Here is a 26,259-nt window from a genome sequence, read left to right as displayed (position 1 = left end):
TCACACAGTTTCTAAGGATCAGGCATCTGGGAGCTGCTTAGCTGGATAGGTCTGGCTCAGTGTCTCCCATGAAGTCACAGTCAAGCTGTTAGCTGGGGCTCCTGTCATAAGAAGGCCCATCAGGGCTGCAGAATTCACTCCCAAGATCACTAATATGGCTATTGGCTGGAGGCCTCAGTTTCCTGTCATGTGGGCCTCTCCATGAGGCGGTTCATAGCATGGCAGCTGGCTTCCCCCAAAGTGAATAATCTGAGAAAGAAAGAAAGAGAATGTCCAAGAAGGAATCCTCAATATCTTCTATAACCTAATGTTAGAAGTGACATACCATTGCTCTGCCATATTGTATTAGCACAAACCAAACCTGGCACACTGAGGGAGCAGACTATATAAGGATGTGAACACCAGGAAGCAGGCATCACTGGGAGGCAATCTCAGAGGCTAGTGACACCAGAGTGATACAGTCCCCAATCCCCTTGCCCTGAAACAACAAAACACACCATTAACCCTTCTAACTTAGACATTTTAGAATTCTAAGACTTTATTTAGCTAAGTGAAACTATCTTTCACCCAACAAGATCAGAAAGGCAAATATTTTTGATAAAATCTAGTAATAGTATGATTATTTCTTCCATTTATTGAGTGCTCGCTATGTGCCAGGTAGTGGGCAGACTTTACATGGATTATCACTGGGCTCTCAGCTACTTGGCAGCAGTGAGGTTTTCTTGCTGGTTCACTGTCAGAGTCCCAGTGCCTAGAATAGTACTGGCACACAGAAGTTCTCAATAAATATTTATTGACTAAATGATACAATTAAACCTTCAAAATAACCTTGCGAAGTGTTATCTCTCTTTTACAAATAAATCAGAAGATTGTAGTGGCTTGCCCAAAGTCATAAAGCAAATACGTGGTAGAGTCAGGCTTGGGATGCAGGTCTATGTAGTTCCAAAGCCTGTATTCTTATCCATCACACTCCACCGTCTCCTTTGTTTCTACTGTATATCCTGACCAATGAAAATATAAAAACAAAAGGGCCTGAGGTTATATCAGAAGTATATAACTTCATAGATGCTTTACAATAAGCTATTTCCAATCTACTACAGTTTGAAAAGTTGATTCCCTGTTACTTGTTATCAAGGTAATATAGTAGCCAAGGATGAGCACTATTGCCCTGGAAGGAAAGGTAAGTGATAGATCCCTAAACACACACACACACTCACACACACACACACACACACATTCAGATTTCCACTCTGCATGAAAGACCTGTGAACAGATAACATTGTTAATATGTAACCGTTCCAAGTTTTCCCCAATCCCTCTGCTTGCCAATGATGGCTTTGATTTTGACTACTCAATGTCACCCCAGACTTCATATTTGGAGAAGAGTTCTTCCATTGCCAGAAGAGTCTTCCAAATGTTGGGATCAGAATCAGAAAAGGAATGGAAGCAGGAGAGAGACAGGAGGACAAGGTAGGGTTGGAGGAATAAATCTTAAGAAGGAAATGAGAATTTCTGAGAAGCACAAGAGAGCAGCTATTGTGAGAAAGTGGATAGGAGAAGAAAAAAATATGTCAAAGAATTGCTATGAATGTTTATCCTTTACAGGTTTTTACAAACACTCAAAGAACTTGAGTGGTTTTGAAGTCACTCTTTGGTTTCTGAACAGCGTTCTTTGATCAAGACAGTGCACTGAGACTAGATAATATAGGATATAGTATTGAATAATTACACACAAGAACCTTACCATAAGAAGAATTTCATAGACGACAATGGAAGCACCACACTGAGATACCGCTGAAGTCAGAAAAAAGAGAGAGAACATGGAGAAGGTGGGAACATCCTGCTAACAGGTAGTGTTTAATATTCTCTGCTTTAGAGAATATTAATAGATCCCAACTATGAAGTTATGATGATATCAGGGTGCTTGAAAAAAGTGTATATAGGCTTAAGTAGCAAACTGCAGAGCCCCCGAATTTTATACTAGTCCCAGTTCTGATTAAAGAAATTGAAGAAGATACAAGTAAATGGAAAGATATCCTGTGTTCATGGATTAGAAGGATTGATACTTTTAAAGTCTCCATACCAACTAAAGTGATCTACAGATTCAATGCACTCTCCATCAAAATTCCAATGACATTTTTCACAAAAAGAGACTAAATCCTAATTCATATGGAACTACAAAAGATTCTAAATAGCCAAAGCAATCTTAAGCAAAAAGAACAAAGCCGCAGGCTTCACACTACCTCATTTCAAAATCCACGACAAAGCTATAATATAATAATCAAAGCAGCAGAGCATTTGTGTAGAAACAGACACCAATGGAACAGAATAAAGAGCCCAGAAATGAATTCACACACTTTTACTTAATTGATTTTCCACATAGCGACATACAATGAGGAAAGGACATTTTCTTCAATAAATGGTTCTAGGAAACTGGATATCCACATGCAGAAGAGTGAAATTAAACCCACATCTCACACCATATTCAAAAATCAACTGGAAATAAATTAAATATTTCAATGTAATACCTGAAGCATAAAACTATTAAAAGAAGACATAGTGAAAAATCTCCATGACATCTAGGCAACAATTTTTTTTAATATGACCCCAACAGCACAGGCAGCAAAAGCAAAAATAAACAAATGAAATTACATAAAAAATGAAAAGCACTGCACAGCAAAATCACCAGGTGAAAACATAACCTATAGAAAGGCAAAAAATATTTGCAAACCAGACATCTGATAAGGGGTTAATAGCCAAAATATATAAGGAACTCAAACAACTCAATAGTAAGAAAACAAAAGCCCATTTAAAAACAGGTAAAAGACTTGAATAGCAAATTTTCAGAAGATATGCAAATGGCTAACAAGTAAATGAGAAAAATGCTCAATGTCACTAATGATCAAGGAAATGCAAACTCAAAGCACAATGAAATATCATACCACACCTGTTAGAATGGCCATTATCAAAAAGACAAACAATAACAAGTGTTGACAAGGTTGTAGAGTAAAGGGAACTGTTGTTAGAAAGGCATATTAATGTAGCCATTATGGAAAGCAGTGTGGATTTTCCTCAAAAATTAAAAATAGGATAACCATATGATCCATGATTTCACATGTGTGAAATCTAACAAAGTCAAACCCATATAAACAGAGTAGAATTATGCTTATCAGAGGTTGGCAGTGGGGAGGAGGATTGGGGAGATGCTGGGGAAGAAAGAAAAACAAAGACACTGAAGCAACTTTTTAAAAAAAGAGTCAGAAAAACAATAATCCATACCTTTGACCCCCAAATTTTACTTTCAGAAATATCTCTTTGATCCAAGTGTGGAAGTACATGTCTATAGTCCCAGCTACTTGGGAGGCCAAGACAGGAGGATTTCTTCAACCCAGGAGTTTGAGGCTGTGGCACACTATGATCATGCCTGTAAATAGCCGTTGCACTCAGACTGGACAACATAGCAAGACCCCATCACAAAAAAAGAAAGAAATATTTCTTAAGAAACAAAACATTAAGAAATATAAAGATTTATGAAAAAGAATATTTATAAAGGTTACTCAATTAAAACATATTATGATACAACCTATATGTCCAATAAAAACATAATGATAAATAAAATAACAAAAACAATCACTTAAGAAAAGGAGAACATAAATAACTTTTATTTACATATTTGTACTTTTGTATTTTAGAAATATTCTACAACTGGATGTGATTTACTTTCATGGTATGGAAGGAAAAAATGTTTTGTTTTTAAAAAGATAATGAGTCCTAATAGCAACAGGACAGATTCAGTTTGGCTGTGAAGAAATATGGCTAGATGGGACAGAACGCCAAGCCCTGGTTACAATAGTTAGGTGGTGTAAAATTTTTATTTTGGGGATTTAAGAGGAAAGTCTTTGATGGCTGGGCCAGTGTAGTCAAGAAAGAGCTGAGGAAATGTATACCCAGAGATGGAGGAAAGAAGTGAATAATCTTTTTGGGTTCTTTCCAAAAAAGAATAAATATTCTTCTTCCTAAAGAACTCCTTTTAGTATTTATTTTACTTTAGTTGTGCTACTGACACATTCTGTTTGTTTTTGTTTGTCTTAATCGTCTATTTGGCTTTAATGTTTGCTAAATATTTTTTCTGGATATAGAATTTTAAGTTGGACTTTTTTTCAGCAGTTCAAAGAAGTTATTCGATTATTTCCTGGATTCTGTTGTTTCATAAGAAAATTTATATTATTTTATCTTTTTTTCCTCTGCCTATTTTAAAGATGTTCTCTTTGTCTTTGCTTTTCAGCAGTTTTACAAGGAAAGCCTGAATGTGGTTTTATTCTGATGTTTTCTTCTCAGAGTTTGCAAGAATCATTAAACCTGCGGGGTTTATTCATTTTGCAACATTATATCCCATTAGCTCTTCAAATTTTGCTTCATCACATTCTCTCTTCTCATACTGGAACTCAAATTATACCATTTTTAGAAATATTTACTGTGCCTCATATATCTATTATACTCTTCAGTGCTTTTTTAAATTCTTTTTTAAATCCTTTGTTTCATATGGATGTTTTCTATTGGCCTATTTTTTCAGATTATTACTTCTGCTTTCTTTTGTATCAAATCTTCTGTCAAATCCATCTATTGAGCTTCTCATTTTAGTTATTACATTTTTAGTTCTAAAATTTTAATTTGATTGTTGCTTTTAAAATCTAACTAACTGCTAAAATTCTGTATCTTTTAATATATTTTCTTAGTTTTTTTGTATTTTTCTCAAACATGTTAATCCTAACTATTTTAAAGTTCACATCTGATCAGTTCAACACTTGGATCTCCCATGGGTCTTTCTATCGGCTAGCTTTTCTCTTGAATTTGGTCACTTGGTCCTAGTAATTTTTGATTGAATTGTGTATGAGAAAGACTCTGAATAATGTTATCTTCCTCCTGAAATGGTTCATCCTTTCCTTTGCCAAACAGATAGATTGGGGACTATCAACTTTCACCAATCAAGGACAAAGCTGATTTGAACTAGATTTTCAGTTACAGGTAGGATCATCTTTCATTTATCTCCTCTTCCTGGAATTCTCAATAAGAGCTTGAGGTGTTAACTGGAGATTTTTCTGCACAGTTGGACCTGAATTCTAATCCTCATCCCTTTGGTATTCTGAGACTACCAAAATTGCATTCTGTTTTTCAGAGTCTAAGTTTGTTCGTCCCCTGCCCCAAGAAGTTTCAAATTGACAAATACTAATGGTAGGGAAGCTGATATGATGTTGGAATCAGTTATCCAGCCCTTTCTTCTTACTGACATTCTGACCCTTCAAATTTTTTTTTGTCTCTTCAGCCTCACGAGACTATCAAAATTTCAGTGGGTTTCTCTGCCCTCTTAGTAGCTACCCCTTGCTTGGGCCCTCTTTCCAAATCCCAAACTAAAAAATTCCCAAAGACAAAAAGTCACAATGTCCTTTCACATTTCTGCATGACTTCCTCTTCTTTAGAATTTTGTCCCCTTGAATCCTGGTTGCCATAGCAGCTGTCAATGCATTCTTGGCTTCCTTACATTTTTCCAGCTCCAGATAAAAGTTCCTGTAAGGAAATAGCTTATGCTCTAAGAGGCAAGCCATCACTATTATGTTCTATTCCTCCTTAACAAGAATAAGTCTCCTTGTAGCAGCATTAGAAAAAGCTAAATTCACAAATATTGGGTCATATGCCCTCTGTTCTTTGACCTCTGAAGCTTTGTTGCTGTCATTTTCTCTACAGAACTGTTTTCCATAAGCCCGTCACCAGCTACCTTCACAATTTTACGAACTAGAGCTCTTCATTTTGTAATCAACAGAAAACTTATACTATCTAAGTATGTTCTTATTGTTCTTATTGGCTGCTGTAACTGAAAAGTTCAATAATAGGGGTTACTTCAGGTCTAACCTGATCCAGGAGTTCATGATATCATCAGGGACCCAGCAAAAGTCCTCTGAAATTTGGTTTGTCCTAACCCTTCTCAATGTATTGACTTCATCCTCAGGCTAACTTCTCTCATGGAAGGAAGCAAACAGATAGTTGCAATAGTTCTGGGATTCGCATCCTCATATTATTCAGTCTTGAGGAAGAGAGTTCTATGTTCCAACATTTCCAGCCAAAAGTCCTGAGATTCACTCTGATTGTTCCATCTGAGGTCACACCATCTGAGGTCACATAGATAACCCTCACCAAGGATGCAGAAAGATGTGATCTGCTCAGCCTGGGTAGTGGTTCCATGTCTGGAGTTGAAGAAAGAGCTAGTTTCCTCAGAATCACATAGTTCCCCATATAAACTGAGAACTCGCAGAAAGAGAGAAGAGAAGAATGTAAACTCAGGAGGAACCAAGAAGAATTCATTACATTATGAAACCTGGCCAACCAAGAGGTGAATCCAAATAAAGAAGTACAAGATGAGTAATAAATGTGAAAGAACAGGTAGCAAATATTTGACACACATAGATTTAGATCTAAGACTAAACAACTTTGGGATTTTGGTCCTGATTTTGTCAAAAAGAATAAAAGTATTTAAATCTCAGTAAAATAAAAATGAAAATAGACTAACCCAAATCAGTAAGTAGGGAAAGGAAAATATGAAAAACAACACGAGAGTTAATTTTATCATCTTTTACAGCAAGGAGCTAACCAATCCTATCTAAAAATGAATGGATTTTGTAAAAGCATAATTACCCCAATATCAGTCTTTTCATAATTTTATTTTTATAAACATACACATATCTCTTGAAGATACCATATATTAAAAGAACATTTATTTGAATTGACTCCATATCTTTTTCTTCAAGTTGAGTTCAAGTCAAATTGGCTAATTTTTAATTCTTAAATAGCATGTCAGTTTGTATTATTATAAAATTATTTGTCTGTACAATTATTCTTTTTAATGAATAACTAATGTATTAATATGACTGATACAAAGTTTTGCAAATCTTGATTCACTGCACCCTCTCAGTTTCCACCCCTCAATCATCTATCTTTTTATTATTCTAGAAGCCTCGAAAGTTGTCTACCAAATGTATACAATGATTCTTTTAGTTGTGAGATTTGTAGTATATATTTTTTAACTTCCTTTGTATTTTCTATATTTCATTTTTTATAATGATCAGACATCAGGTTTTTTAAGTTATAATATTAGAAATGAAAATGATTACTGCCTTTTAATGGAAATTAAATTCCATGCTTTGGGGGAGGATTTCCTGGCTGCCAGGACCAGAGATCACCTTTCTTTTTTCTGCCATCTTGTATCCTAACTTTGCATCACTCACACACCAAACATACTCCCTAAGACCAACACTCTTAGTAGACATGTAGGGTATTCCTGTTGCAGGAGCTCCCTGAGAGTCCAATCTGTGATTCCATCATTAGCATTGCTGGGACCAACCAGACTCAAGAAAAGGCAACATCTCTCAAGAGTTTTGAATTTCAAATTACACATGGTGCCCCAGGGACCTGTTTATTTTTGTGTTTTTGGCAAAAGTCTACTTCCTTCCTGTTTCTAAGAAAGCAGACTCAAAGAAAGAAGGGACTTCTCTTAGCTGTTCAAACCTCAGGCAGTGCTTCCTTTAGCAGTTTAGGAGTTTCACTGAAAGAAATGCCATTGCTTGGGAGCTGGGTTCAAATCCTAATTCTGCCACTTGGGAAATTTACATAATTATTCTGAATCTCAGTATCTTCCTCCCCAGGGAAAGATGATAATAATGACAGCACCTTGCTCATAGAGTTAAGTGAAATACAGGTAAAGTGCGACACTTTGTCTGACACAGAGTAAACACTTAATCAGTATCAGCCTTCATGGTTACCTGTGAGCCAGGTCCCCAAGAAGCAGTGTTAGCAGATGGGGATACAATTCTTAGATCCGAAAGGACAGCATCCCTTGGAATTGGCTAAGTATGTCCAGGGATCCAGGCTCTGCTGATTTTTTCTCCACTCCCCTCCCACCTACTCAACCCTAAAACTCCACTAGAGATGACTCAGCATTCACTTTAGCTCCCAATCCGTTCTAGGGGCATAAGGGAAGCCATTTTTAAATAGTGTGGCTGAGATATAAACATTTAAAGAAATGTTGGACTTGATTCAAACTTATTTTCATAAATTCCTGGAACTTTCTGTTTGGAATGGCCTGAGATGATCTAGTCCAATCTATTGATTTACAGTGATTTACAGGCAAAGAAACTAAGGCAATAGCGTTTTTAAAACTTGCGTAGGGTCCATGGCTACTTAGAGTTACAGCCATGCCTGGAAACCAGGCATACTGTCTCCCTGCAGTTCCCCGTTATTGATCATACTGCAATGTAATACCCTAGTTATTTGGTTCTCTTCCCCATAAGTATAAGCTCCCACTTAGAACCTCTGCTTTTTCATGAGGAAGCTGAGGCTTAAAGAGTTTAAGCCACTTGTCCAAGGTCACCCACCTTGTAAGTGAAGGTATGTGAATTAAAACAAGAGTTGTTCCAACTCAAAAGCCTGTGCTTTTTACTCTGTTAGCCTGTATTCCAGTTTCCTTACTAAAGAAAGAATGGAGCCAGGAACAGCGGCTCATGCCTATAATCCCAGGCATGGATTTGGAGGCCAAGGTGGGAGGGTTGCTTGAGTCCAGGAGTTCGAGACTAGCCTGGGCAACATAGAAAGCCCCTGTCTCTAAAAAAGAATTTTAAAATTAGCCAGTTGTGGTGATGTGTACCTGTAGTCCCAGCCACTCGGGAAGCTGAGGCTGGAGAGCTGCTTGAATCCAGGAGGTCAAGAGTGCAGTGAGCCCTGATTATGCCACTGCCCTCCAGCCTGGGTGACAAAGTGAGATCCTGTCTTTAAAAAAAAAAAAGAGAGAGAGAGAAGAATGAGCATCAATGGAGGCAGCATGGTGGAGTAAAACTGGAAGTGAGATGAGCTCTCATGCTGACCTACTGTGCGAACTTGGACCACTCACAACCTTGTCTTCAGTCTGTCTGGTGCAATATGGCAGCACCTAGTGCCGTGAACCTTGATTGTCATCAATTCATAGTTGAAAGTGTTGAATAAGTAAAGCACTTATTTCTTGCACCATGAAGCCATGTCCTTCACTTCTCCTTGCTTTCTCTCTCATAGGAAACCTTGGTGGAGAGTCCAGCATAGGCCCAGAATCTTGCAATCCACATCCAGGTGAGACGTGTCCTCAGGTCAAACCTAAGAGATGCCCTCTGTTTTCACAGCTTCAGCAGGGATCACTGATTCTATCTAGTGTGAATGCACTGTTTGTTTTCCTTCTTCTCTTTCTGTTTGCCATTGGAAAAGTCCATTAGTGCTGAGTGACATGACTAAACAGTAAAGGAGAGAACAGTTGATGTGTTAATAACTCTTAGGTAAATACCATTTGTTATTGTCACCGCTGAGGCTTTCAGAGAGATGGCACCATTCCTGGTCCTGGACTGTCCTCTTGTTGGCTCTGTCTTTCAGCAACCTGGAAAGACAGGTTTGGAGGGGGAAGGAGTCTGAAAGGGATAGGTGAGCAAGAAGAAGGAAGGGTATGGGAAAGGAACAGGGACTCTGAAAGAGACACAGAGAGCAAGAGAGAGAAGGGCAGGCAGACATACAAACATACAACACATAAACACACACACACATACACACACATACACACAGTGAAGCAGAGGAGAGAAGACAGAAGTGATGATTAATGGGATCTTTTACCAGATTCCAGGAACACTCTGTGTCCCTTCCTCAGAAGTGCTGGGACTTTTGCATCCATCATTTCTTAACAGCGCTGACATGGTCCCTCTGGTTCCATACATCGGCCCTTCCACCAATGTCTAGGATGTGCAGTTCTTCCTGCCTGACTTGGCTGTGGCCCAGAGGGAAGATGATGTTGGCTGGATTTGAGGAATCAGCACAAGAAAGTTGCGTGGTATCACCATGGAGTCCAGGAGGAAAAAGGAGCTTCCCTGAAGATGTCTCTGCTTTGAGGATGGAAGAGCCCTGTGAATATGGGGGGACCATGGCCAAGAAGATTCACATTGGGTGGGATTTTTGAAGAGGAAAGTGGGAAGACTGGTTTCCCCTTCTAGCCAAGAGCCTGGGTGACCTTGAGTTTGCTCTTTAAGCTCTCTAAACTCTTATGAGAAGAGTTTGTACCAAATAATCTTCCAGCTCTGGGGCTATGATTTTAAGGCAGATCAGATATCAAATCCTCTTTGAATCTTAGTCCTTACCCAGCGACGGTCAGTTATGCCCTTTAACACAGGGTAAAATGACTTGAAGACACCATGTTGACTAGTTATCATTGTATTCCCATACTAGACACTCTAAATATTAATACCTCTCTTTGGGTCATCATAAATTCAAAAATAAGTTTCTTACTTTGTTTAGTGCTTACTTATTTTCTTAATGCTTTCAAAGGAAGACAATAGAACATTATGTTTAAGACCTAAATTCCGGTTTCAGCCAGGCAGAGATTCAAATAGCAGCTCTTCCACATCAGCAGAATGAACTCAGGTACAATTCTTCACCTCTCTGAACCTCAATTTCCCAAACTTGTCTCGTGAGGTTAGAGTGAGGGTTACAAGAAAAAATAAAATCAAAGTGCTTTGCACAATGCCTGCACATATAAACCCTTTAAAATTATTAAATGCGCCGGGTGTGGTGGCTCACACCTGTAATCCCAGCACTTTGGGAAGCTGAGGGGGACGGATCACCTGAGGTCGAGAGTTTGAGACCAGCCTGACCAACATGGAGAAATCTCGTCTCTACTAAAAAAAAAAAAAAAATACAAAATTAGCCAGGCATGGTGGTGCATGCCTGTAATCCCAGCTACTCAGGGGGCTTAGGCAGGAAAATCGCTCAAACCCAGGAGGCGGAGGTTGTGGTGAGCTGAGATTGCACCATTGCACTCCAGCCTGAGCAACAAGAACGAAACTCCATCTCAAAAAAAAAAAAATTATGAAATGAACAGGGGCTAGAATCTGTTTGCTTGATTCCCACAACACTGAGAAGAAGGTATGTCCCCATTTCATAGAAGAAGAAACTAAGGAATGGAGAAATGACAGGTTCATAGTCTCCAGCCAGTTAGAGTTGAAGTCAGGACCAGGAAGAAAACAGTCTGTACCTCCCTTATATCATTATGAAGTTTCTTGAGGCTGACCTTTCAAGAGGCTAAACTTTGAGGCAAAGAATGGGGAGAAAGAAGGGGGCTGAGGATTTAATCTTGGGGAACACAGACAGAAGAATGGGAAGAGAAAGAACTGAAGAACGAATACTCAGGAAAGCAGAGGGCAAGAATTTCATTGGTGCGGAAAACAAGGGCTTAGATTATTTTCCAAAATTAAAGGGGGTAGGGTGTCACCAGTGTCAAAAATCATAAAGTCAAAAAAAGAAAGGCCTTGGAATTTGAAAATAAGCATGTCCTTTATTTATTTATGTATTTATTTATTTATTTATTCTACAAATATTTATGGGGTCAGGGGGACATGTCAGGCACATTGTCGCTCTAGGAACACATTGGCCAACATGGAAGTTTCTGGCTCCTGCTCTCCAAGAGCTTATGTTCTAGCAGGGATAAGAAATACTATAAAAGTAATGAATTTTGGGAGGTGGGAGACCAGAGTTTTATTATTACTCAAATCAGGTTCCCCAGACATTCGGGGAGCAGAGTTTTTAAGGATAACTTGGTGGGTGGAGGGAAGCCAGTGAGCCAGGAATGCTGATTGGTCAGAGACAAAATCATAAGGACTTGGTAAACTAATGAATTTTAAAAAATAATTTCAGATACTGTAAGTTCTGTGAAGATTAAATGTGGACAATATAATAGGAAGCAACGCGAGGTAGGTGGGCAGCTAAAGCAAGTACAATCAGGAAAGCAACGTTTTGAACTGAGACTGCATGACTAAAAGGAACCAGCCACATGAAGATCGAAAGTGCGTTGTCAGTATAGGGAACAGCTATAGGAAAGTTCCTGAGGCAGAAATGAGTTTGACTATGACCTCCAGTAGGGCATTGTCAGTGACTTGATGTGAACAGAGGCCAGATCATGATAGTAATGAAGGAGAATTGATTTATAAGGAAAGAGCGCCTAAGGGCAGATGACTTATGCAAGAAGTCGTTCTTGAAAAGAAGGAAGAAAGTGGTATTAGTGCCATTTATAGCGGAGTGGGCAGTGGCAACCATTTCTATTTGGGGACCTTTCATTTCCCTTCCCATTTTGGTCATCTTCCCTTAATGCCAATATTATCCACCAAAAAGCCACATCCTTGGAAAATTCATATTAATGACTGTAGGGTATTTTTGGGGTTTGGAGATAAGAATAATCAAATCCTCCCACACCAAGGCTCCACTGACAACATCAAACCTGTTTGTACTGGCAGCTACTGTCATCACTCCAGCAAACACAGTTATTTGCTTTGGATCTTTATTTTTTGTTCTCTACAATTCAGGGTCACCTTTGGTTTCTAAGGCTCCCAGGAATCTTATTTCACTGTTGGTTAGCTTTGATCACTATCCTTTCCACCCTTACCCGACCCTCCCAGGTCAGATTTTAGAACAGTACTGTCCTATGGAATTTTCTCTGATGATGGAAATGTTCTGTACTCCACTGTCAAATAAAATAACCATTAGCCATATGCGACTATTCGGCACTTGAAAAGTGGATCAGTGTGATTAGAAACTTAAATTTTAATTTATATAATTGTAAGTAATTTAAACTTAAATTGTCACCTGGGGCTACAGCCTGTAGTTTTGAGTAGATAATTCTAATGAGTTAAAATTGAGGAGGGTTCATAGTTTTCAAAGAGTCACTTTGCAAGGTCTTTGTGATTACTGAGAAATGCATCAACGCAGATAAATAATGCCCAGGTCAGTAAGTGAGGGATTTCTTCTCAAGGAGGAAAAAATGGAATATATTCAAAGCTGGCCAAGTTTGATGTGCAGAAATATTATCAGAAAACTTATTCGGCCCAAACATGAAAAATATTGCCTCTTCTGAGAAGTAATTTTTAAAGATTAGGAGTGTCCTAAGGGGTGCTGGTTTCATGAGGTCTCCTTTGATGAAAGGTGTCCATCGTCAAATAGGCTTAGGGAAGTGGGCACACTTTTTCCCTCTCTTGTAGATTCACAATGCACATTATCATAGTAAAAACTCTGAGAAGTCTTACAGTAACTAGCTCTGTTTAACTATAGAAACCTCTATGTGTGTGCATGTGTGTGTGTGTGTGTAAAACATTAGCGTCCTGAGAAACTAGAGAAATATTACTGGTAGAACATGGACTTGCGTTGGGGATGGTAGGGAGGAAAGAGGGACGTGTGTAAACAATGCCAGATCTACCCCTTATTACCAGCTGTGTGACCTTCAGAAAGTCACTTAACTTTTCTGATCTTCATTTCCCTCATATGAAAATTGGAGATAATATCTATAAATCCAGGCTTATATGAGAAATGAATATAATAATATATGTAAATAGCATTATCATAATTCCTGGGACAAGTGAATCTTCCCAGAGTAGTTAGCTATTATTGATTTCATGATCATTTATGAAATTATGTGACTAAATAGCTGAGGCTTTCTGGACCCAGGGAGAAACGTGCTATGAACTACTGGAGCTCACTTACTGCCTGGTGACATTTTTAAGTATTGTATTAGAGACCTGGATATAAGGGTCATCTTTTCTACCTTTCTTTATATCCAGCATTGAATGCCTTCCTGCAATCCATTCTCAAAACAACAGCCAGAAGAATCCTTTTAAACCAGAAGTTGGATCATGTCACTCCTCTAGTATCTCCATCACACGCATGCAAAGGAAAAACTAGAGCCTTCGTAATGGCCTCTATGTGATCTGGCCCACCAGTACCTCTGTTTCACCATTTCTTAACTATTGCCGGTCTACTCTGGCAAACAGACCTCCTCACTGTTCCCTGGGCATGATAAGGAACACACCCACCTTAGGACCCTCTCACATCACTTCAGTATGGAGCACTCCCCCAGTTATCTGTATATCTGTGTGGCTCCTTCCTTTAGATCCTTCAGTTCTTTACTGAAATGTTTCCTTCTTAACACTGCCTAAATTTACAGCATGCCCTTATTGTATTAAGTGCTCTAGCAGTCTCTGTTCCTCTATATTTCTTTACTACACATCCAATATGCTATGCTTTATTTATTTATTTGTGTTTTTTCTTGACTGTTTCTACTCAATACAACATAAATTTTATGAGAGCAGAGATTTTTGTCTCTTTCATCCTCTGCTATAATTTGGTGCCTAGAACAATATCTGGCACGAAGTAGATGCTCGATAAATGCTTTTTGAGTAAAGTAACGCAGAAGCTGTATGTGTTCTGTTGCTAGAGGCTAAGTGCATTTTCTCTAAGCCCAGCATTGAATGGCTTATTGAAGAATGAAACACGCATTTCCAGGCTGGTCTCTGTGGTTTTTATTAGTGTTTCCTGGGACCCATCAAACAAATAAACATATTTTGAAAAATATAATTCTTTGACAAAACAGGAATAGCAGGAATAGTTTGAATTTAACATAGCTTAAAGGGAAAGATTTCTGATTTTTTTTAAATAGTAGCAATAGAGTTGTTTCCACAAATTGTCAACCCAGGAGCCAGATGGAAAGAAAAACAAGAATTATGCAGATAACTACAGAAAGATTAATCCCAATTTAGTTAAACTTGTGAAGGCTTGTACGTTTCAGAGGTTCATAAGACACAGTCTCAACAGGAGTTTTTTTTAATAAATGCTCTATCTCTAGTTCCAGAAACTGAATTCCAAGAAGCTACACTGAGGATAATTCAGCTCTGATATTGTGATTACTGTGATGTTCTTTCATTCATACAGTAAGTATCTGCCCAATACGTAACTACCGAGATCTATTGCTTCCTACATAATTAGACAAGCTCCTCACACATATGGGCCCATGCCGTGCACATAGCAGGCACTCAACAAGTGTTTGCTTAACTACAGAAGAATAATATAATTGCCTTCCTTCTTAACTGTTTTACCTTTTTCTATACTTGATATATTTGAAAAACAACATGCTTGCAAAACTAAAATCTAACATGCATTACTAACTTTATCAAAAGATCCCTCAGTATTTTTCAAAAAGGAAAAAAATAATAAAAACCAATCCCCCAAATACTAAAACTTAGAACTGCTTTACACTTAAATAGCAATTTACATCATATTAACATATTCATAATCTTCATTGGTTAAAACAGGTCAAAGGTTTATTACTGGCTTCTCATACCAGATAAGTCTCACAGTTCCCAATAAGGCAACAGAATCCTCATCCAACATATATTGACTTGTGGAACCCAACGGCCTGTTTTGGTTTCATTTCAGCGCAAGTAGAAGGCAAAATAAAGAGTCTCACAGTAAAATGTTCATAGTAGATAATATGTCCTTGAAGGTTGTGCCGTTGTGCTCTTATTCCACTGAAGAAATGATTCACATCCCAATTATAGATATGGTCTCCCAATCAGAGGAGTCTTTTAGAAGACATTCATTCATTCATTGAACAAATATGTGTTGTGTACTTGTCCCATGCTAGGTAACAGGAAAATAATAGTGATTGATAAGACATAGTCCCTGTCCTCAAAGAGCTAACAGTCTAGCAAGGCAGGAACTTTGAGAAAAGACCAATGTGTTCAAAGGAAAACTCACAACCTGGGTCTCCCTTCTCAGATGGCACATTCAAGAAACTGTTGCTTATGCCCCTGGGAGCCAGAGCCTTACTTAAGTCTTACCAAGTCAAATATCTATCAGCCTCAGATGATTTGAGCCTGGTAAAGTCTTAGCAATAGATTTGCTGCCTCATGTTCCCATGAAAACCTAATAAGAGAGAGCCCTTTCAACTCAGGCATACGGGGGGTTTAAGGATAACATGTTTAGTGACCATGTGGACATTCAGCACAGGTGAGCTTCTCAAGTGAGAGCCATGTGTCCCCAAAAGAAAGGAGGGTTTATCCATAAGACTTTGCTCTCCCTTTCAACACTGTGGTGGGAAGTACTCTGTTACCACCCCAAGTTGGCATAGCTCGATTACTTTAAGTTCTCCAAGTCACGAACAGCACATAGAAAATGCAGCAAACTCAAGTCAAGACAATAGAGAGATATGCTGAGAACTTAATACTCAAGCCTTAATCAGGCACCAGATGCCAAGAAACCTTCACTCTCAACAAACAACACAATCCACTAATTATCTGTAGAATTGTTGTAGTTGGTACTCTTCACATTCACTTACTCCTTAGCAAAGATTGCTCTTGAATGGAAAGGTTGCAGAAAGAGCCAAAGCCAATTTGGAAGAAGTGAGAAACTTACAGGTTTGAGGAATGGTGAAGTCAGCGAAGGATCTAGCCTCCTTAGATGATGAACAGGCAAAGTCAGAGAAGGAACCACAGTGAGAGAATTGGCAGATGCCCCTAATAAAATCACACAACTCAGACACACACACAGACACACAAATATTCATGCGTTATACCCATTCAAGTAACTGGATATTTAATTCATTCTATGCAATGAACAGTCAAATGCTGGGAAGGCCCCATAGTTCTTTGGCCTTCTTGTAAAGCAACATATGTCTTTTCTGCAGGAATGTCTGAGTTGCACAGTCAAGATCGTTGCTGTTCATTGTTCTTTTTCTCAGCTCTTTCAGTAACTGTTACTTGACAACACTAAGTTAAACCTTTACAGAAGTGACCAAGCCAGGCAGAAATAAAAATGGATTTGGTTGCACCTTCAGAAAGTTATTCATGTGTGCTCCAAGATCACTACCTAGAATGGTTCTCATTGTAATTAGGACAAATTTTTAATTCTTCTTACTTCCAGCCTCATGAATATATTACAAACACTTTGCAACCTTTGAATATGAATTGCTCACCTCTACCAGGTATGACACTGTGGTAGGTGCTCTATTAGTTGATGAAGAGCACTCCTTCTTATGGATACATGTCTTCATTTGCATATTATTGCTGGAGAAAGAGAGGTAGAATAGAGGAGCAAGCCAAGGACATGAGAGAGCCAAAAAGAAAAGCTGCAAAAGGGATGAGAACATTCAAATCCATTTTCAAAGTGTCTACTTATTCCTGTGCTTCCCAGATTGCATGGCTCAATGGTAAGTCTCCAGGACCCCCAGAACAATTCCTCTATTGAAGAAGAAGCTTTTAACTCCTTGGTGACAATTGTGCCTGAGCTGAGTTTTCTGTTTATTTTTTTCATCCTTTCTTTCCTTTCTTAAAAGACAAAACAAAACAAAAAAAATTCCTCTGAGTACAAATCTAGGCAATAAACCGTTCACCTGGGATCAGTTCAGATGAGACAGTAAACAGATAATCCAAAAGACAAAAAATTATAAGAATTAATACCTGCAAAGAGGATTTTCCCTGGAAATTCTTTTCTTGGTGTTTCCTTCTACAATATAATTTTAATTCTGCTTTGTAATTCCAGTGAAAATGTCTTCTATTGTAGTTCCTGCTACATTACTATGCTTACTTTATCTGACATTGGCTCTCATCTGGGGTTCTGAAAAGAAGCTCCTCTAGCTATTTCAACTTATTGTCCCTAACATTTAAAACATAAAGATAGGTTGAGGTTGAAGTCTTGCTTTTGCTTCACTCTAAGGAGCTAAAAGACCTTACATATCTTTTTCTTCTGAGAATAAACCACCATCCTCATATTGACTAGCTAAACTGGTGGTTCTCAATCAAGGGCAAATTTGCCACCCCCAGGGAACATTTGGTGATGTCTAGAGACATTTTGCGTTATCACAGCTGGGGGGTTTCTGGTGTCAAGTGGTTAGAGACCATGAGTGGATACTGCTGAACATCTTACAATGCACAGGAAAGCCCTCACCACAAAGAACACTCCGGCCAAAAATGTCAATTGTGCAGATTGAGAAACCTTGGACTATAGGGATACAAGAGCAAACTCTTCAGCCATTTCCACACCACCGTCTCCTTTTTCCAACTTATTTTTAAGCACTTGGAGCAAAAAAGAACCAAGCTGGGTTCTCTCTTAAATAGCTAGAAGTGAGCAGACAGGGCAATTAAAGTATTTCACCAACCATCCAAAGGGGAGAAAGGAAGACAGCCCTGGCATCAGATAAACCATTCCTGAATGAGTATAAAGACCCCACCATTATTCTTCTTGCTGATTTAAGCATTCCAAGTCATGTGGTTATGCAGAGATTATAGCCAACCTTGGGTTTTGGAAGTCCCCATTCTCCACTCATTGGATCCTAAGGCTCAGGTTAAACTTCCCGGCATCCATCCACTTTGTCCTAACCATCTGAGACCCTGGAATTTAACTCAGCAACAATGTTCACCTCCCTTGACGAAGCCATATGGATGCTTATGTGAGGAGGATGCATCACCTTTTTCTAAATCATGTCACATACAAAACATTTAATGCCCTCTGATTTTGTTTTTCTTTCTCTTAGCAAGAAGCACAAGGCTACAAATCCTGTTACTCTTGCAGTGAAAAAGAATTCACAATAGAGGTGAAAAAAAATCACAACCACATACAGCATCATATTTCACAGAAAACTGTGTACGTTTTTTCCCCATATAGGACATACTTCGAAGTAACAAAATAATTTTTTTAATCGACCGTAGTGTTTCTTCTTCCCGTTAGAAGTAGTTTCTTGTTCCCCTCATGGTACATAAATATCAGAGAAAAGTAGTCTTTGAAATATTTACGTCCAGGAGTTCTTTGTTTCTGATTATTTGGTGTGTGTTTTGGTTTGTGTCCAAAGTATTGGCAGCTTCAGTTTTCATTTTCTCTCCATCCTCGGGCATTCTTCCCAAATTTATATACCAGTCTTCGTCCATCCACACGCTCCAGAATTTCTCTTTTGTAGTAATATCTGTAACAAAGGAGATTGCATAAGGTGACTGATCCGATGAAGGTTGCTAGGTAAATAATGGGTCGTACAGCCTTTTTGTTTTCAGAGACATGAAACTCCTCACCTCATAGCTCGGCTGAGCTTTTCATAGGTCATGCTGCTGTTGTTCTTCTTTTTACCCCATAGCTGAGCCACTGCCTCTGATTTCAAGAACCTGAAGACGCCCTCAGATCGGTCTTCCCATTTTATTAATCCTGGGTTCTTGTCTGGGTTCAAGAGGATGTCGCGGATGAATTCCCATAAGTGAGTCCCTCTCGGGTCTGATGAAAAGCAGAAAGGCAGGTTACTAATGATCTAAGTCACAGCAAAGATAGGGCAGAGAGCATTGAGTTAGGTCATCTTCCTGCAAGTAGGAGATACTCATTTCTCCCCTACTTGTCAGGGAAGATGGATCGCAGAATCACCAGATGTTGGACATTAAAAAGGTATTTAAGAATAAACTAGCACAATATTTTATTTTACAAATCAGGAAACCGAGGCACAGAGAACTTAAGTGACTTGATCAGGATCACACAGCTAACTAGTGACATAGCCAAGACTAAGCAATAGGTCTTAGGTCTCCTAAGCCAGGGGGAAGTTTCTTCTAGTTATTATCCACAAATTGCTTGGGGTTCACTTCAACCTGTTACTTCCCCAGAGAGCAACTCTCAACCACTTTTATCCAGTATCTCAACCAATTAAATTGCTTTGACCCAGCAACTGTGTTTCAGCCAAATGCAAATCAGTAAGGGTCTAGAATGTTTACTCCCAGAATAGATGAGGGTGGTAGGGAAAGGGGTGGTCACGCAGGGACTGGAGGACCCAATTTGAAAATGAAGCCACTACTGCAATAAGATTATCAACCAAATTCAACTTTACTCCCACTGAATTTTTGATGCCCCACCCCCACCCCACCCACCTTTCGAGGGGTTGCATTAATATGGTTTTGTGGGATTATGTGAAAGAGCAGATAAAGACATTCTAATTCCTCATAATTTCTGGATTATACCTTTTTTTTTTTTCTGAGACAGGATATCACTCTGTGGCCCAAGCTGGAGTACAGTGGTGCAATTACAGTTCATCACAGCCTAGACCTCCCTGGCTCAAGCAATCCTCCTGCCTCAGTCTCCCAAGTAGATGGGACTACAGGCACGTGCCACCATGCCCAGCTAATTTTTGTATTTTTTTGTAGAGATGGGGTCTCGTCATGTTTCCCAAGCTGGTCTTGAACTCCTGAGCTCAAGTGATCCACCCACCTCAGTCTCCCAAAGTGGTGGGATTACAGGCCTAGATTATACCATCTTGATTTCTTTCTGTGTTCCACCCACAATTCCATGTCTCTGATATTTCGTATATGTTCATAAGATTTTATTACTGAAGGAGACCCAACTCCCAAAGAGCAGTGTTGAATCTTAAGAAAAAACAGTCATTTCTTGGAATGGTAACTCCACAAAGGTAGGAGGCCAACATTTAGCAAAAGAAAGGATGATACATCTCAGCTGTTTCTTCTTATCTCGCTCCTCTTCCCACCCTTTTCTTCTGGGAGAGAGGAAATTGCCAACCCCATGCCTGCAAGCAGTTCTTAGGCACTGGGTGTCTCAGTTTTAGAGCACATATGACAGAACAGGGAGGAAATGTCCAGTGGGGCTCCACTTTGAGAAACAGCTGCAGAGGGGGCTTACTTTGCTAGCAAGTGATGCCTCTATTTTCTCACTCCACCCTGTTTGGGATGAAGACATGAAGGCAGCAGACAGAGGCGATATTTGCCAAAAAACTAGTGGCCTCCAGATGTGCCCGATGTGATGGGAAGGACCAAAGGCCATCTGAAAGCCAGCCAACTTACTGTGCTTTTTGGTGTGGCACTTGGCAGGGGGGTCTTGCTCCTTTTTCATATCAGGTGACTCTGCTAAGGAGAAAAATGAGAGGCGTTTAATTGACCTATTTCCTATAATTCTCTTTTTTATTCATGCATCCACTCATTTAAACAATATTTACTGAGCACCTACTGCATGCCTGGCACCTTTGAGTATGTGCTAGTGAACCAAACAAAACAGAGATGATAAATGCTATGGAGAAAAATGATGCAGGTTAAGAAATGGAGATAGATGTATGGACTTGGGAATAATTTGCAATTTGATACAAGGTGGTCATAGGAGACCTCTCTGATTCCACGACCTAAAGGATATGAGGGAAAAGGTCATGCAGAGAGCTTGTGCAACAGCCTTCCATGTGTAACATAGAAGTGCAAAGGCCCTGAGGTTGATGTGTGTTTGGTATATGCATGCTGTAAGAGGCAGAGAGGGAGGAGCTGAGGTTCTGATCATTAATCCCTTATGGGACTTTTAAGGACATGACTCTGAGAAAGATGGAAGCCATTGAAAGATTTAGATCATTGAAAAATTTGTGGTTTTTTTTTTTTAGCATAATAGAAAAATGTAAACATTTATAACAAAGGAAGATGACTTTTAAGCCAGAGGAGTGCCCTTTTTTGGCATGCAAAGTTACATTTTAATCAGCCTGACAAAGGCGCCATTGAGTGGCCCAAGCTCAATACAGAGGGCCACAGTGGACTATGGAAACACAGATTAGTTTAACAAATGACTCATTATGGCAACCTCTGCGACTATTACCAAAGAGGAGATGATGGAGGCGGACCTGGGAAATAAAAATTCTTCTCAGAAAGAAAACTAAATGATCTAGCCGTGTGTGTGTGAGTGTGAGTGTGTGTGTGTATATGTGTGTGTGTGTGTGTGTGTGTGTATTGGGAGGACCAAAGTAGATCTTACAAAGACTCTCACACTCAAAAATCAGCCAATTTTAATACAAAGTAGTCCCTAAATACAAGCCAATTATTTTAAGAAATTGGGCCAGTAAAACTGATCTCTTTCATGTGCCCTTCCTAAACTAGGGTCCACTGACCCAGTGTGGCCTTCAAGGGCCCCTGGACTGACTGAAACCATATATGAAGGGAGAGGGTTCACAGCATCCATTCAATTATCAGGAGAAGCCTATTATTCAAAAAAGCTATGAACTGCCAGCCATTAGCTCCTAATTAAATTGGTTAAGAAAAAAAAGCTACTGTTTATTGAGCACTTACTATGTACCAGGCACTGTACTAAGCACTTTAAATGAATCACTTTATTTAATTCACACAATAACTCTATGACACAGGTACTAATATGATCCACAGTTTTCAGCTGTGGAGGATCTGAGAAACAGAGGGGTCAAATGACTTGACTAGAGTCACACAGCTGGAATGTGGAGCCAGGATATGAACACAAACAGTTTGAATCCAGAAGCTTTACTCATAACCATGATTCTATGTCATTTCCAGAAATGGTGGCCGGCACATAATCTCCCTTTGCACATAACAGATTTCACACAAGCCTTTCTTGCCAAGAATCAGGTTCACTTCTGTAATGCTCTTGTTAGTAGAAAAGATAATTTCAATCTGACAATTCTATATTTCCCAACGTTCATGGGCCCTTTCAACCATCTTATCACCCAGCTAATCAAGACTCAGTGTTCCCAGCAATTTCTCGAAACGTCATGGCAGGATGGAGAGAGGGATTTAATAAGACCTCAGTAAACAAGAAACCTCTCATCCTGGTTAAGAATTTCTCTCCTGGCATTGTCACTAGCAGGGCCTGCACCTGACTTGGGTTTCTCTGAAATCCGAGAGGACAAATTCACAGGAAATGCAAGGAGACTTCACTCTCCCTCCCTGTAGGTTGCAGGGTGAGGTTGCAACATCCCATCAGGATGTGACAATATTGCGACAGGTCTGGCATCCACCCCGGTTTCCAAGTGATACATCACTCTGACAGGGCCACGTTGTACTGCAGACAAAGAGTGGCATTTACCCAGCAGGCCACAAGCAAAGCTCATTTTCAAATGACATCCAGGAGGGATGCAGGGCCATTATTTCAGAGCCAGGAGTTGAATTCAGAAAAATACAAGAGTCTCTCAGTATATTGGCCTCAATTATTGTTTGTGGGTTCCTAGTTGATCTAGAATCAGTTACTTCAGAGTTCAGGTGCCTTTGTGAATAAGACGAAAACCTTGGACCCTCTCCTCAGAAAAAAATGCACATATATGTACACATGAAATTTTGTCAACAATTTCAGGGGGCTGTGGCCCATGCAGCAGTCCATGGACTCTAAAACCTCTACACTAGATAAACCATGAGGAAATATTCTTTGAGTTGTCAGCCGTTTACCCAAGCTAGGCTCCACCCAGCTAGGAACGTTCTTTTTTTAATCCCCAAATAAAAATCTTTCCATCATCATAAAGGGGAATAAGCAGTCAAAGGCAAAAGAAGAACCTAATTTCTTCCAGACCTCTCTGCCTGTTGCAGTGTGCAGGGGTAAGCCGTGGAATCACTGGCCTGCTTTACCACTGATATCTTTTGATCTTTAACCTCTCTTTAATATGTGTCCTTCTTCTGCCCTAGGATAAAAGTCAAGACCTTTGAAGTTAGCCATGTGGTTAAGTGATTCATTCTTATAAAATAATGGCTTGCCCTGGAGAAGTTGTCCAGCCTGGCTTTCTCTTGCTTGGCTCCCAGGCACTCCAGGCCAAGGTCCTATCCAGTCCAGGCAGGGGCAGCAACAAGCCACAGGTTTGTGATGCAAGTGAGAGAGCGTGACTTCAGCTAAGCTGCTTCGCAAGAAGCAAAGATTAGAAGCATTTGCATATGATTCAGCTGTGAGCCATTTCTTTACGGGATATACAAATTTCAGTGTTCTAATAGACCGTGCCACCCTAGCTTTAGGCTCAACAAGTCAGTGGATAAACACATCAAGCCCGAGCTGGCATGACAGGCTGGAGGACTGTCGAGCAGAACAGGACACCGGCAGCGGGCATTTTATGAAATGGGCAGATGACAGAGAAATCAAAACAAAGCCTATTTCCCCACCTGCGTTTATCACAGAGGGCATCAGTTTACGCTGGGCCTCGCCTTAGCTCAGCTGGTAACTAGCATTAAAACATAGAAAGATATTTCACTGCATTCAATTACATGGGAGCTCGAAAAATAAAGACTCAGGCAAATGACCAAGGTTTTTCCGGGGTTCTGCTTCCATGCAGTAGAGACTATAAACTATTCTGAAAGAAACTGACCCATATAAGGCTGTAATTAACTATCCTACTGAAGGGCTATTACCCCAATGAATACACCAACCCCAGAGACTGCATTGATTCTTTAGGGCCTGGGTGATTGATCTCATTTTCCAGCCTGGGTTACAATCACAGGATAGAAATGGGGAGCTGCAGCAAACAAGGATCAGAAGGGTAAGGAGAGAAGATTCCTGAGCCCATCTTAAGAAGGACTATTGAAAAATACAATCGGTGGACTCAGGAGAGAGCGAGTTCCTTGCTACTGCAAATGCAAAAGCAGAAACTGGCCTCTAAGGCCCCTATTGATTTTGAGATTCTAGAAGGTGTAAGTCAAGATGTAGAAAAGAGGATGGCCCAGCTGTCAGGGCAGCAGAGCTGTAACTATGATGTTTTTGTTTCCCGGGTGCCTCAAGACCTACTAGCCCCTGAGGCTCAGGAAGTGGTTGGTTCAGCTTTATTCTTAGTTGGAATTTTTTGCCGTAAGTCAAAGACCCAAGTGGAAGGATGGAAGGATGGAAGGATGGAAGGATGGAAGGATGGAAGGATGGAAGGATGTGGGAGATGACACTGTAGGAAGTCGCAGAGGAACTCAGAGTGTGACTTGGGAGGTTTCCTCAGCCCTGAACCCCATGGTCTTGACTGAGTGGCAATGATTGCCACAGAAATTTTACCCCGGTTGGCTCAGTTCCCCCAGAATAGCAAATACACAGCCAAGCCTTGCCAGTGTTTGATCTATTCCCTAATTTTAACAAATACCTCAAGTGACACATAATGCTAAGGACCACTGGGGGAAGGAGAAGTCGAGAGCTATGCTGGCCTCAGCTCTTAATCTCAATTCCAGAAGCATTTACATTGGCTCCCAGCCCCATCTCATTTAAGGGGCTTGACCCAAACAAAACCTCAAACCAAAACCTTTCATTATTTCAGTTCTCAAAAGCAAAAACAAAAACAGAAAAAAAGAGGAAGGAAGGGTTGCAGACTAATTTCTTTCACAAAGACCCAATTAAATCCCATTTCTGAAGTTGCTCCAAATTTAATTCCAGGAGAGAGGCACTATCACTTGTGACTGATGTCTAAGTGCCATTTCATAGACCCAAAGAGATCCACAAGTTCATACTCAGATCACGGGAAACCATAAGATCCTCTTTCAACCATTTCCCACACTGTACACGCCAATGCACCTATTTGTAGGTGGGGGTGGTAATCTGAAATCCCCTCTCCCAGACTCCCAACATCCCAAACTTCTCACCCAGTGTAACCTTGGTTAAGGAGCATGGATAGCCCCAGTTGCATCCAAGCTTAACCAAATGCAGCTAAAGTGAACGTAACTCATAAAATGCAGGTGCTCTGACTGATTAGAGAGCACTGATGAGTCATCGGAATTAGACTTAAAAACTGACAAAATAGTGTAACTGTGGGGATTCTGGAAGTTTCCAATGGCTACCCCTTCACCCAGAAACTATCACTACAGGTTCACGGACCTTTGAATTTTACTATGAGGTATTCTTTCTCTAAAGCCAAATGTAGTTTGTTGAAAATTAAATATAGCCTTATTTCCCATAAGTATACCCAAATATGAATAATTTTAGCAGCTATATTGCAAGAGTAAGTTTTCATTGAAAATAAAGAAAAGCCTAAACAACTTTTATTGTCACAACAGAGTGACTAGTTTCGTAGGAGACCAACATTTTGCCTAGAGGATCCCTACGGGTCATCTTCGATGTACAAATATTGCCTCAAAAGCAAACCTCGTCTAATGGTAACCCCATCCCTTTCCTAGCCCTTTAATTAGAAAGACTCCAGAAAGGCAGAAATGTAGAGTGTTGGTAATTCCCACTGATTCTCCCTAAGCATTAGGCATACCCAGCCTCAGATGTGATGACAGCTTACCAACAGGAAGGTGACTGGTGGTTGTCATGGAGATCTGAGCCCGGCAGAAAGTTTTGCTGTCCAACAAATCTGTGGCCATGAAAAGATAAAGGACATTTAGAGCACCCCCTCCCCCCACCTCACAATAGAACACTGTGGCTCTTAGACAAACTGAATAAGAATGTAAAGGGCCTTAAGTGTCAGGGAGTTAGTTACCTACTGTGCTACCATAGTTGGTGTCATATAAATAGTTCTCGTCTTTCCAGGTGTTCATGATGGAAGGCTCTACAAAAAATAGAGAAGGAGAATAGTCAGCGATCTCTTTTCCCCAGGGAGAAGAGGCTGCGTTTTCTAATTCATTGTTCATCAACAAAGTATGGGGGGTGAGGAGTGGTCCTCAGAGACAAGGGATATGATTCTGCTTC

The 26,259-nt window shown here is 39.9% G+C and overlaps 1 protein-coding gene and 1 pseudogene across 33 annotated transcripts in view; both read right to left on the bottom strand.

Annotated features, from left to right (window-relative positions):
• Positions 1 to 3,438, bottom strand: part of NDUFB8P3 (NADH:ubiquinone oxidoreductase subunit B8 pseudogene 3) — a 36,042-nt pseudogene extending 32,604 nt beyond the window's left edge.
• EHF (ETS homologous factor) overlaps positions 14,373 to 26,259 on the bottom strand; it is a 42,196-nt gene continuing 30,309 nt past the window's right edge. For 19 of the 33 annotated variants that reach the window (NM_001378041.1, NM_001378043.1, NM_012153.6 and 16 more), the window contains 5 exons: positions 26,051 to 26,119; positions 25,856 to 25,924; positions 20,691 to 20,753; positions 18,933 to 19,128; positions 14,373 to 18,829 (listed from right to left, as the gene is read on the bottom strand). In NM_001378041.1, the coding sequence (NP_001364970.1) occupies positions 18,730 to 18,829; positions 18,933 to 19,128; positions 20,691 to 20,753; positions 25,856 to 25,924; positions 26,051 to 26,119 (497 nt within the window). In that variant the 3' untranslated portion in view covers positions 14,373 to 18,729. The remainder of the gene's footprint in view (positions 18,830 to 18,932; positions 19,129 to 20,690; positions 20,754 to 25,855; positions 25,925 to 26,050; positions 26,120 to 26,259) is intronic. The other 14 variants (NM_001378050.1, NM_001378049.1, XM_047426761.1 and 11 more) reach the window with 5 other exon arrangements.

This window comes from Homo sapiens, chromosome 11, assembly GCF_000001405.40.
Source record: "Homo sapiens chromosome 11, GRCh38.p14 Primary Assembly".
Classification (NCBI taxonomy): Eukaryota; Metazoa; Chordata; class Mammalia; order Primates; family Hominidae; genus Homo; species Homo sapiens.
This window is presented reverse-complemented; position numbering and strand designations above follow the sequence as displayed.